Source organism: Homo sapiens, chromosome 15, assembly GCF_000001405.40.
Source record: "Homo sapiens chromosome 15, GRCh38.p14 Primary Assembly".
NCBI lineage: Eukaryota > Metazoa > Chordata > Mammalia > Primates > Hominidae > Homo > Homo sapiens.
Window position 1 is genome coordinate 89681228 of NC_000015.10, and position 13035 is coordinate 89694262.

General features: G+C 43.1%; 2 protein-coding genes and 1 pseudogene across 17 annotated transcripts in view, besides 1 other annotated feature; 1 reads left to right on the plus strand and 2 right to left on the minus strand.

Annotated features, from left to right (window-relative positions):
- Window positions 308-9527, minus strand: PEX11A (peroxisomal biogenesis factor 11 alpha). 3 transcript variants are annotated; one of them, NM_001271572.2, is made up of 3 exons: window positions 9350-9527; window positions 5204-5319; window positions 308-2628 (listed from the first exon to the last, which is right to left on the minus strand). In NM_001271572.2, exons 1-3 carry the CDS (start codon window positions 9403-9405, stop codon window positions 2150-2152), a joined length of 651 nt encoding a protein of 216 aa, NP_001258501.1. In that variant the 5' UTR covers window positions 9406-9527; the 3' UTR covers window positions 308-2149. The 3 variants fall into 3 exon arrangements, with proteins under 3 accessions (NP_001258501.1, NP_003838.1, NP_001258502.1); NM_003847.3 differs by having other exon boundaries at window positions 308-2721; NM_001271573.2 differs by lacking the exon at window positions 5204-5319 and having other exon boundaries at window positions 308-2721.
- On the minus strand, window positions 6650-7053 carry RPL36AP43 (ribosomal protein L36a pseudogene 43; annotated as a pseudogene).
- Window positions 9121-13035, plus strand: part of WDR93 (WD repeat domain 93) — a 53291-nt gene continuing 49376 nt past the window's right edge. For 13 of the 14 annotated variants that reach the window (XR_931869.2, XR_931870.1, XM_011521795.2 and 10 more), the window contains exon 1: window positions 9584-9630. The gene's annotated coding sequence lies outside the window, so the exon portion shown is untranslated. Of the gene's footprint in view, window positions 9187-9583; window positions 9631-13035 lie in introns of those variants that run through there. The other variant, XM_011521794.3, reaches the window with a different exon arrangement.
- Window positions 9362-9451: an enhancer, noted in NCBI's record as "active region_10054". NCBI's record gives its function as "activates an Ori minimal core promoter by ATAC-STARR-seq in GM12878 lymphoblastoid cells {active_cell/tissue: GM12878}" and the evidence as "EXISTENCE:reporter gene assay evidence [ECO:0000049][PMID:35858748]".

Below are 13035 nucleotides of genomic sequence, written 5' to 3' on the forward strand. Positions count from 1 at the left end.
TACCACTGTAACATAACATACCACCATGAATTCAAGGCAGACTTACCTAGGCAGAAGCCAGCCAGCGATTGACAGGGCTACTGTAGAGCACCATCTCCATGGCAGCAGTCTAGATGAGTTCATTTCAGAGGTCCCTCTCAACCCAGAGGCTCTACATCTCAATCTTTCTCCATCCTCCTCCTCAGCCTGGATCTTCTAGCCCAGAGCTCGCTGTACCAACTGTGTAGGCTGATTGAGGATTATCTGATGGATTGCCTTATGTTTAACTCTTCTCTCTTCCCAGAACACACTCACAGACACAAGTCAATTTTGTCTAGAAATTTATTGAACATAGTTAATCTATTACAGTAGAGGATCTGGACAATAAAAATAGTTATTTAAGCTTTTTATTTTCCCTGACCTAGTAGCTTTCATGTCTCTTAAAATTCCCTAAATTTTATTTCTCAAATCCCATATCGTGATTGGTTAAACAGACAGCCAAGAATCTGAGTCTATTTTTTGAGAATCTCAATCACATTTCTGGGAAATGTGACTTATTGAGTACATATTTATTTTCTCATTTCCATTCAGATAAATGACACAGCTTTGCTGGGAGGACTGACATCGGCCTCCTACCTGCTGGCATCCTATTTCTCTACCTCACCTCCCTCAAACTAAAGGATCTGTAACCACATATAAAGACCCACACCCAAGATGGCAGATAGGAACACAAGTCAATGTCATTGACTCAGCATTCCATTGTCCTCTTCACTGGCTTCCTCCTGCGCTTTCCACCTCCCTCAATCACCCTAGAAATAAGATGTCTGATTTATCGTAGAAAATTGTGACTCTCTTACATCTGGAGTATTCATGAAATTTTTTTGACTGGATAAATTTTGATGAAAATTAATGTAGAATTGCCTAAATTGTTAGAAGGATTTAAATAAAACAATCTAACTGATAAGTCTAAATACTGTCTTAATTTTTTTTTAAGACACAGGGTCTTGCTCTATCACCCGGGCTGGAGTGCGGTGGAAGCTCACTGCAGCCTTGAACTCCTGGGCTCAAGTGATCCTCCTGCTTCAGCCTCCAGAGTATCTGGGACTACAGGCATACTCCACCATGCCTGGCTAATTTTTTAACACTTTGTTGTAGAGAAGGAGTCTCACTACATTGCCCAGGCTGGTCTTGAACTCCTGGCCTCAAGCAATCCTTCCGCTTCAGCCTCCCAAAGTGCTGGGATTATAGGTGTGAGCCACCACACTCCACCCAGTTTTAGTTTTTCTAGAAAAGAATATAAACCACTGGACAAGGAAATTTCCAAATTATGGGAGAGTAAGAGGCAAAAAACAGGATTCAGGAGGGGATCACATTTCTACTCAATTCTGAAGACAGTGGGAGAGCATGGAGAGAACACTGGATTAGGAGTCAGAGGAATGAGGCTCTAGCCTCAGTTTTTTGTTTGTCTCACTGTCAGCTTCTTATCTGTCACAGGCTACATATAGGCACCCATTGTGACCCTGTACCTATTTTTATAAGTCCCTCCGGTCTGCTTCTGATTTTTGCTTATTCACTGCACCCATAGACACAATTTATACCATGAAGGTGCCTGATGCTTTTCTGATTCTACTTCTGCACAGAGCAAGGACATGAGTGCAGTGATGGTATAAGGGCCAACAAGTTGAGAGGCTGTAAGCCCAGCTCTCCTCCATCCTGCTACTGACATCAGAGCCTCTACTAGATCTGAGAGTGCCATGCACCAGACCTACTGTAATCGTGAAACCAATGATCCATATGACCCTAAAGTTATTGTATACTGGTGTTCAATGATCAGTGCGATTGGGTCTTTTTAAATTTTTTCCTTTCAATTTTTATTCATTCAGCAAATACTAAGCTCCCACTATGCACATAAGAGATGTTCAATCAATGTTAGATGAAGGGAAAATATTCAGAAATTCACAAGTCACTCCAGCACTCCAAAAACATACAACTCTTCATGCTCCTCCCTTCTCCGTTCTTGGCCTCATCTCTGCCCACATCACAGGTTGTTAAATGCTCACATGAACAAGAACTTAAGCACAGTATGACATGGCCTGTGACTTATACAAATGTCTGTCCCACCAAGAGGCCATCTTTTAAAGTAGGTACTAGTTCCAAGCCTAAAAACACCCTAACGGGTCTTCAGCTTCATCTGAGGATATGCCACAGTGATCATGCCTGCTATAGAGGACACAAGACCTCCAAGTCCAATGATGCCAGGATTGGATTTATAGATCCCCAGCTGGTCCAAAGGGTTCAGGATATCACAAAGGTTCTTCACTGTGTCCAGGAGCAAGGGAGGATGCTGCTTCAGAGATCGGAATAAAAGAAGTAGAAAGGATTGGAGCCATTCTGTTTCCTCCTCAGCCACGCTGAACCAAAGAGGATCCTGGGATGCTGATTTCTCTTTCTTTGCCCTGTCACATGTAACTCGTTTCATCTGCAGGGAGATTTCATACAGATCCCTGACCAGGCTCAGCAGAAGAGAATAGTAGTAGTGGTGAGCAGCCCTCGTTCGCCATTTCTCTTTGTTGATGCCAGAGGTGAGACCTACGCTCCTCACCCAGAGGATGGTGTCACAGATGAAATAAATCACACGGTTCAGGTTGGCTAATGTTAAGCATAAGCGAGGTACCAGGTCAGTGGCATGAATGCTCTGCTCAGTTGCCTGTATAGCATGTACCACATTGCCTAGTCTGAACCCTGCAAGTAGAACCCACAATAGTGAACAGTTATTTCATTAGTACACAACAGGAAGATAGAATCCCTGTATCAGGGTGAGGAGCCAGCTTTTTGTTGTTTTTTGTTGAGACAGGGTCTTGCTCTGTCACACCGGCTGGAGTGCAGCGGCACCATCACAGCTCACAGCAGCCTCAGTCTCCTGGGCTCAAGCAATCCTCCCACCTCAGCCTCCCGAGTAGCTGGGATTATAGGCACGAGCCAGTGTGCCCAGCTTAGCACTGGTCTTTTTAACAACTGATGGTCATTAAAGGCTCAGCCTTTGTTCAGAAAAAGAGAAAGATTTTACAGTACATTAAGGACACCTAAAGTGATCTTGGAAGGCAAAAAATACAGTGACTCTTTAAATTTACCTCCTCCATTGTAATGAACACCTTAATGTTGACTGACGGCATACTCCAGGCAAGGTCAATCATGAGTGTGGACTGTTACATTTGATTATTTACCAGCTACACTTCTTTAGAAGGAAGGTACTATGATAACATGAACTCCAGATGCAATACTCTCTTGGAGAGTCTGATGCCTTGCATTTTATTTATTTTCCAGACAAAAGACTGTCTTTTTAAAAAACACTATTATCATTTTGCCATTTCTCTGGTCCAAACCCCTTTTGGCTACCTATTGTCAAGAAGATAAAGTAGAAATGGTAGAATTTAATGGATAGAACAATTAATAATATTGTCACAGAGCTCCTAGTTGAATTAAATCAACCATTGCAATGGCACGTCCTTATGTGAGCACGTAATTCAATTAATCAGGGATGCATCAATCAATAGGTACTTACTGAACACCTTCTGAGAAAGAGTTATAGTACTAAATGTCACGGAGGATACAAAAGAAGTACTTTTCCTTGAAGGATCATACCTTAGACTCAGGAGGTGCTCAGAAGTAGCTACTCTCAGAAAACTTATAATCTCAGAAGGGGCTGGGCGCGGTGGCTTACGCCTGTAATCCCAGCACTTTGGGAGGCCAAGGTGCACGGATCACCTGAGGTTAGGAGTTTGAGACCAGCCTGGCCAACGTGGTGAAACCCCGTCTCTACTAAAAAAAATAAAAAATAAAAACAAACATTAGCCAGGCATATTGGCGCATGCCTGTAGTCCCAGCTACTAGGGAGACTGAAGTGGGAGAATTGCTTGAACCTGGGAAGCGGAGGTTGCAGTGAGCCAAGATCATGCCACTGCACTCCAGCCTGGGCAACAGAGTGAGACTCCATCTCAAAAAAAAAAAAAAAAAAAAAAAAGAATGTTTTGTATTATGTTATCAAAAATAACATAAAATAGTAAAATAGTATATGTAATGACTATTTTAGTATATAGATTCTGGGTTCCAGTTCTGGCCCTTGCACTAACTGGCTGAATGACCCTGGATAAGCCCCTTCTGGACTTACAGACTAGTGACCTCTAAAGGACCTTTCAGCTCCAACATTCTAAATAATCTAAATAGAATTTCTAATCTTGGCCTTCAGTGCCATCCAGAAAAGCTCGCCCTACCCTTCCCATCCCTCTGCTTGACAATTTAAATCTGTCAAACTAGTTTTGTAGTTTGACAATGATCCTCCCATACAATGGTTTACTCAGTTCTGAGCCTTTATTAGAGAAAACTGCCCTTCGAAACTCTCTTCTTCCTTCTCTCTAGCCTCACCTCAAGTTCCACCTCCTCTAAAACACCTTTCTTTTCCTCTACCTCAGCCAACAAGTTTGGCACTAAATCTTATATATCATTATTTAAAGCACCTTACTTCTCCCATAAGGCTCAGGAATGTACCTATATAACATAGGTGCTCAAAACCAACTGATCAATATGTGATGCTCTACATTCCATTCTAATGCCTCTGCTAACCTACTATAGCAACATCTGGTTTTCATCAAACAACAAAGACTCAGAAAGGCAATTGCTATGAAAAGTACTGGATTTCCCAGTATGACATATTATTAAAGTAAATTTAATAAACACAAAATATTGATTTCACTTTTTACCTTTGGCATGAAACCTACCTCAAACATGGTCTACAAAAATGTATCCACCTATATATCCTCTAGCACTCCTCAATAAAGGAAAAAGGCAGGTGGTCTAGGATATAACTATTCCACTCTTGTTTAGAATAAAGGGGCTCACAGGAGCAGAAGCTCATGTCAGAGACTGCTAAAACATACTATGATTCTAAGAACTAAAGGTGAACTAACACGTTGTCTGTCTCACTGGTTATGATTCAGCAGAAAGATAAGGTGTAGCACCAGATGTGAACATAAGAGGGTGTTTATGAATGGTCTGCAGCAACACATTCAAACCTGTTGTGCCATGAGGACAGCCTTACTGGTCAATTTCACCAATAAACTTGATTGACTAGAAATTAATGACCTAGAAATTACTCCGTGAATTACAGGGTCTGAGGCTGAGGATTCTAAACCAGGAGTCACTGTCCCTCAAGAAACAGGGTACTTACATTTACGACCAGTGCTCACACTGGACTCCAGTTTCTTGAGCTTCATTACCACCTTCTCTTTGCCAGCTTTGGGCTCTAACAAATATCTAAGCAACATGCATGTGTACTGAGTGGCTCTGAAATGGAAAAAAAAAAATTGAGAAGAATGATTTACAAACCAAATAAAACTTAATTCAGGAAGTAAGGGAAAGAGAAACACATGCCTCCAGACAACATTTCCAAGACCATTTCTCATGTAGCAACTCTTACAAAAGCAAAATTCTGCAACAGTCATTCTACAGGAGAGCCAAAGGGTAGAACATGTCATGGAAATTTAACACAAAGGTAATGAAAACAAATTCTGCAATAATGCAGCCAATGTGCCTCCAAAAGGCCTTTTGCTGGCACAGAGAAATGGATATAGTCAAAGTGAGAAACTGTACAAAATCTCCCTCATGTTAAGTCTACAAAGATCCATATTCCTTCTCTTCCCCAGTGTAGATTTCTTTCTTTGTTTTTTTTTTGTTTGTTTTTGATCGAGTCTCGCTCTTTCGCCAGGCTGGAGTGCTGTGGTGTGATCTTGGCTCCACTGCAACCTCTGCCTCCCTGGTTCAAGCGATTCTCCTGTCTCAGCCTCCCGAGTAGCTGGGATTACAGGTGTGTGCCACCACGCCCAGCTAATTTTTGTATTTTTAATAGACACGGGGTTGTGCCATTTTGGTCATGGCTGGTCTCGATCTCCTGACCTCGTGATCTGCCCTACTCAACCTCCCAAAGTGCTGGGATTGCAGGCATAAGCTACTGTGCCTGGCCTGATTTTCAGATTTCTAAAATGAACTTTTCTACCATGTACTTAACCTACCATCTATGTGACAGGACACAAACTCAAACCAGAACCAAATGAAAAGTCCACAGTTTAAAGATTGTTTAATTTTTTATAAACGAAAGGACCAAATACACATCAGTACATAAATTAGTATAAATATGTTTTCATAGTTGTCTTTCAAAACTTATTCGTATTTTACATAAAATACAGGCAGAATCCTGCTTAATAATACTATATATTTAATAAAGTGATTATTGTCATGCTTACAAATAACAATGACTTACTAATATAAATGTAGGAGAAATTTTACATCACATAGTCACACATCCAAATCCATTTGGCAATCTACTAATAAAGTAGGTGCCTGGTTCCTACTGTCTTGTAAGTGCATTTGAATCCCTTTATGCTATAAATATTATTCTCAATAAAAATGCGGTACATTTTCATTTTCTAAAATAGTGAACTTGTTACTAGGAATGAAATAAAAAGAGAAGACTGGAATCATAAACAATCGCTTTCTCTTTTTTAAGTGTCCTTCCTGGTTACAGGACTGGTCATGTCAATGATTCTGCCTTTCTGAGCTTTGGTCTAATAATAAGGATCAGGCCAACAGTAAGACATTACTTTTATTTATTTATTTTTGAAGTGAACATAAACTCGATTTTATTGTCTTCATAATAAAACAAAAGATGATACTTAGAACTGGATCACTTGGCCCTTTCTCTTCTTATCTCCTCCCAGTTCAAAATGCTGGCATCTTTTAATAGCCAGGATTCTCTTAGATCTTCACTGGGCTCAACACACTCAAGCTTTAGCACAAACTTCTTGGTAGTTTTAGACTTTTTCTGGAAAATCGGCTTAGTCTGCCCACCACAGCCACTCTGCTTCCTGTCATAATGCTGCTTTCCCTGGGCATACAGAGAATCCTTGCTCTTCTTGTACTATGTCACTTTGTGGGGTTGGTGCTTGCCACACTTCTTACAGTCTGACAGGTTTTAGGAATGTTCACCGTGTTTGCATGAGCATTATTGGCACAGAAAGCAAGGTATTATTTTATGAATGCCAGTGTGGTCATAAAGGTTATACAGATCATCAAGGAGGTTGGGAAATGAATGCTAGAGATCTCAGATCTTTTGGAATAAACATATCTTAAATTATTATTATTATTATTTTTCGAGACAGAGTCTCGCTCTGTTGCCCAGGCTGGAGGGTAGTGGTGCGTTCTTGGCTCTCTGCAAACTCCGCCTCCCGGATTCAAGCGATTCTCCTGCCTCAGCCTCCTGAGTAGCTGGGATTACAGGCATGTGCCATCACGCCCAGCTAATTTTTGCATATTTAGTAGAGATGGGGTTTCACCATGTTGGCCAGGCTGGTCCCGAACTCCTGACCTCATGATCTGCCCACCTCAGCCTCCCAAAGTGCTGGGACTACAGGTGTGAGTCACTGAACCCGGCCTAAATGATGATGATTATTATTTTTAATGTTTTTATTTTTTTTTTAGAAGGAGTCTCGCTCTGTTGCCCAGGCTGGAGTGCAGTGGCGTGATCTTGGCTCACTGCAAGCTTTGCCTCCTGGGCTCATGCCATTCTCCTGCCTCAGCCTCCTGAGTAGCTGGGACTGCAGGCGCCCACCACAACGCCCAGCTAATTTTTGTATTTTTAGTAGAGACAGGGTTTCACCATGTTAGCCAGGATGGTCTCGATCTCCTGACTTTGTGATCCGCCCACCTCAGCCTCCCAAAGTGCTGGGATTACAGGTGTAAGCCACTGCACCCGGCCTAAATGATTATTTTTTTAACCAACTTCCTTGATAAACCCTGCAGGGTACATTCTAGGTACACTGGAATTACAGGTTTCTATTTAATGAAATTTCTATTTAATGAAGCTTGTATATAAAGTAACCATTTAAAAAACCTATCAAACTAATGAGAAAGCCAGTATAGCTTGGTAGTTAAGTGGGCACTGGAGTCATTTGCGTGGATGTGAATCCCTCAGTTCTGCCATTGTAGTACCTATTAACCTCTTTCTGCTTCAGTTTCTCCATCTGAAGTGGGTAAAATATTTAGAGTATCTACCTCATAGGGTTGTGATGAGGGTTATATAAGTTCATAGTTGCAAAACACTGGGAACAATAGCTGTCATAAAGATGGCTTCCAAAAGCCTCATTATTGGGGCCATTCTAATTGATCTGTTTGTATCAGCACTTGCACACCCAGAAGAGAATGCAGAGCTGTTAAATAAAACTGCAACTGTAAATATTTTTTCATTAAGCAAGAATCAACCAAATCTCTAAAACATCATGAACTAGTACTGTATTCGTATTAAAGATACAATCTCTCAGTTCTTTTCGTTTCTTATGGAACCAAAAGAAAAAGAGACACAATCTCTGTTTAATATTTTCAGTAGCACAGCATGAACCTTAGAGGTGCAGTTAGTTCTTTCTGAGCTTCTCCCCACTGTATTTCCCCCCAATCCAGTTGGTGTGGTCTCATCCCCGCTATATTTTGTTTTACAATTTACAAAACTATTCCACATGCAGTATCTCAATGATACAGCCTGGGTAATAATGGAAGAGAACTTCTGTCTCTCCTCAAACATTTCAAGAGGTATTTGAGACCGGGCGCGGTGGCTCGCACCTGTAATCCCAGCACTTTGGGAAGCCGAGGTGGACAGATCACCTGAGGTCAGGAGTTCGAGACCAGCCTGGCCAACATGGCGAAACCCCCGTCTCTACTAAAAATACAAAAAGTAGCCGGGCGTGGTAGTGCACGCCTGTAATCCCAGCTACTCAGGAGGCTGAGGCAGGAGAATCGCTTGAACCCGGGAGGCAGAGGTTGCAGTGGGCCGAGACCGCGCCACTGCCTGGGCGACAGAGCGAGACTCCGTCTCAAAAGAAAAAAAAAAGAGAGATATTTGAAGTCACACCAAGTGGTTTGCTTCCCTAGCCACAAATACTAATCCAAAGTTTCTCTTTAAAGGAGATCCCTCGGAAGAATGTTGAGTGGAGAGAACCAATCTTTCTGTGCCCGGAGAGCAAAGTTAGGAGGGGAGGAGGATCTGTCAGCCGGTGTCCCGTCGTCGGCGGTCTCGAGGCGGCTAGGGTGCCAGGCACTGGGGCTTTCGTGCACGGGGCTAGGACGGGACGCGGGTGCGTTGGGCCCACTCACGTTGAATTTAGGGTAAGGAGGGGCTCGGATACTAAACTCCCTCCGTAGGAGCTGGCAACGTCCTTCCTGCTTCCATCTACTAGGCTATCACCTCCTTTTTCCCGGGTGCAGGGGAATAGGCACGGGAGCCGAGTTAGGGCGAGAAAGGGGCGGAGGCCGCTGGCACCTGACTCACCTGAAGAGTCGGTCCCGGCCCTGGGTCTGGTTGGTGAAGCGGGTGAAGGCGTCCATGGCTTCTAGCCCAAAGGCCACGAGTCGCACGGGGCTCAGGCGTGGGTCCTCTGGGGCCCGTCGGATCCCCAGGGAACGGTCAGTCCCAGGTTATCCGCTGAGGGGGAGGGGCTGAGTCTCTCCGCCCCAGAGGGGGCGGGCACACTTTCTGTAGAGCAACTTCGCGGACTTCCGGTTCAAGCCGGAAGTTGTGGTTACCAAGGCGACGCAACGCCGCCCGGCCAGGTGAGCAAAACTGATCTTACCTTTGGATGCCGGGGCTCCCCTCGAGTCCCAGGACTCCCCTTTACCTGTAGAGTCTCCTAGAGGAAAGTCTGAGGGGGTCCGTCTCCCCAGACTCGGGCGTTTCCGGATGCCTGACGCCTCCCCGCAGATCTCAGGTTCTCAGGAACCCGGGGTGATATCCCGAATGGTCTCTCCAGCCTCAGAACTCCCCTGAGCTCTTGCTTGGGACGGTGGGGCCTAATCATTTCCCAGCGCCGTGCCTCTTTCCCTTGAGCTACACCAGCTCTATGTCTGGTGAAGGAAGTGGTTAGGTCAGAGATAAGCCAATTTCACAGTGTGAACCTAGCATGGGAGGCGGATGAAGTGAGAAAATGTTCTGCTTGGATTATTGAACATTGAAAGAAGATTGTTACCTGAGGAAATCCTAAAAGAGTCATTATGAGCAAAGTGAAGCAAAAATAGATTGCAATGAAATTGCACCGCTGAACATTCGTTCTGTGCGGCTTGAAGAAAAGGAGCCTTACCCACTCCGTGGCAGTAATTTTATAAAATGTACCCTCTATAACCACAAAATAAGGTCGGCCGGTGCTGTGGCTTACGCCTGTAATCCCAACACTTTGGGAGCCGAGGTGGGCGGATCACCTGCGATCAGGAGTTGGAGACCAGCCTGGCCAACAGGGTGAAACCCCGTCTCTACTAAAAATACAAAAAAAGTAGCCGGGCGTGGTGGTGGGCGCCTGTAATCCCAGCTACTCGGGAGGCTGAGGCAGGAGAATCGCTGGAACCCAGGAGGCGGAGGTGGCAGTGAGCCGAGATTGTGCCACTGCTTTCCAGCCTGGGCGACAGAGCGAGACGCTGTCTCAAAAAAATAAAATAAAATAAAATAAGGTGAACATTTTCGTAATCTTTATTCCCTTGGTCAGGCCAGCTCCTAACATTTGCAGGCCCTGGGTAAGAGTACAAATGGAGTCCAGCACACCGTATGTTTAAATATTTTAGTTATAAATCAAGCAACAAATTGTAAAGTAAAATATAGTCTGTTTTCCTACATTGACAAATAGACCCTCATAATGATGTAGAAGGCCAGGTTCATCTTCAGAATCCCTAGACTCCTTAGAATACCTGGAAACACAGCTGGAATATGGCAGTGTGGGGAGAAATGGCTCCCAGTCTTTTCCCACTTCCCTTTCTTTTCTGGTTTCTGGTGCCCACCTGCATTCCCTGCCAGGAGCCTTGTATACCATCCTGATACTCCAAGCCACATCCAACGTCTGCCCGTACCTCTGCAAGCAGCCATGCCTTTGCCACCTTTTCAGATCGAGGAGTGCTCACATTAGCAGCTGGGTCTGCCCTCAGGTGAAAGCTGAGAAGGGCTCATGCAGGCCATGGTGTCATTTGGGCAGTAAATTCCAGGGGTATTGGTACCCTGAACATGGTCTAGACTCCAGAAGAGGGAAACTAGGCTTTGGGTGAGCATATCTCCTTGGCCCCATGGGTTACTCATTTTTTGTAGAGGAAAGAGCCTCGAAGAGAGCCAGAAGTTTTCTCTAAATACGTGGCCCAGGTCAGGGCAATTCTGCAAGCAATGAGAATTTATTGAGTCCTGGCCATATACCAACCACTGTGCTAAACTCTAGTCGTAGGGTAATAGGTTAACAAGGAACACAGTAAACTGATAAGTACAACACAGAGATATGTTAGATGATAGAGGTGAGCACAGGGTGCTTCTAAACACAGATGTGTATCATCTGTTTTTTGTTTTTGTTTTTGAGACAGAGTTTTGCTCTTATTGCCCAGGCTGGAGTGCAATGGCGCAATGTCAGCTCACTGCACCCTTCGTCTCCCGGGTTCAAGCGATTCTCCTGCTTCAGCCTCCTGAGCTGGGATTACAGGCATGCGCCACCACGCATGGCTGATTTTTTATATTTTTAGTAGAGATGGTGTTTCACCATGCTGGTCAGGCTGGTCTGGAACTCCTGACCTCAGGTGATCCACCTACCTCGAGCTCCCAAAGTTCTGGGATTACAGGTGTGAGCCACCACGCCTGGCCTCATCTGTTTTTTATACCTACAATTCTGCCTTTTTCACAATATCATATAAATTGAATCATATAGTATGTAGCGTTTTCTTTTCTTTTCTGATTTATTTTACTTAGCATAATGCATTTGAGATTATCTATGTTGTGCACATCAGTAGTTTGTAATTTTTTATTCCACAATGTGAATGTATTATAATTCATTATCCATTCACCCACTGAAGTACATTTGTGTTGTCTCTAATTTGAAGCCATTATAAATAAAGCTGCTATAAATATTTAAGTACAGATTTTGATGTGAAACATAAGTTTTAATTTTCCTACTGTAATATGCAGGAATGTGATTGCTGAAACATATGGTATGTTTAACTTTGTAAGAAACTGCCAAACTGTTTTCCAAAGTGGCTATCCTATTTTGTATTACCACTGACAATGCGTGAGAGCTTATCTGTTTGCCTGTTGGTGGACATTGGGTTGTTTCCACTTTGGGGCTCCTACAAATAAAGTTGTAATGACTGTTCGTGTACAAGTCTTTGTATGGACATATGTTTTCAGTTCCCTTCTACCACTCCTAAGAGTGGAATGACTGGATATGATGGTAGATAATGTGTTTAACTGTCCTGCAGGGGACAGGCCTATGCAAACCTACCCCTAAAAGTCTGAGAAAGCTGAGAGGCCAAAGCAAGAGGCTGACATACCCAGTTTCTCAGAAACAAACATTTAATAAATAAATACAATTTAAACAAACAAACAGAAGCCATGTCTCAGGAGCAAGACAAGATGGTGGATCCCTGCCATTATCCACCAGACCCAGGGTTTCTGTGCTATAGAGAAAGGTGCTTCAGAAGGAATGTGTAAGATAATTGCTTAAGGACAGAATTTATGGCAAGAATGATAACATCAAGGTTGTTTTGACCTAAGGGCAATATTTACAGTAAGTGGTGCTCTTACACAAGGAATGAGTCAAATGGAAATCTTAGAGGTTTTTCTGGAACTGGGGATAATCAGAAGTTAACATGGAGGATTAGCATCTAAGATGGAGTTGCTTTGGCCTCCACATTAGCGTTTTAAGAAATTGCCAAACTGTTTTCCAAACCAGTTGTACTATTTTGGTTTCCCAATAGTGTGTATGAGCATTCTTATTGTACATCTTCAACAACACTTTCATGGTCTATCTTTTTAACTTTAGGCATTTTAATATACGTGTAGTGGTATCTCATGATTTTAATTTGCATTTCACAAATGACTAATGATGCTGAACATCTTTTTATGAGTCTATCTGCCATCTGTATATCTTCTTTGGTTAAGTATCTGTACAAATTTTTTGCACATATTTAAAAATTGTTGGGTTATTTCTTTTTTTTTTTTTT

What these genes read in the sequence shown, in the direction of transcription:
- PEX11A (NM_003847.3), bottom strand. Translation starts at nt 9,405, where the DNA reads ATGGACGCCTTCACCCGCTTCACCAACCAGACCCAGGGCCGGGACCGA. An exon ending in GGCCGGGACCGACTCTTCAG is followed by an intron (nt 5,320 to 9,349) that starts GTGAGTCAGGTG and finishes TTTCCATTTCAG; the next exon opens with AGCCACTCAGTACACATGCA. An exon ending in TGTGAGCACTGGTCGTAAAT is followed by an intron (nt 2,722 to 5,203) that starts GTAAGTACCCTG and finishes TTCTACTTGCAG; the next exon opens with GGTTCAGACTAGGCAATGTG.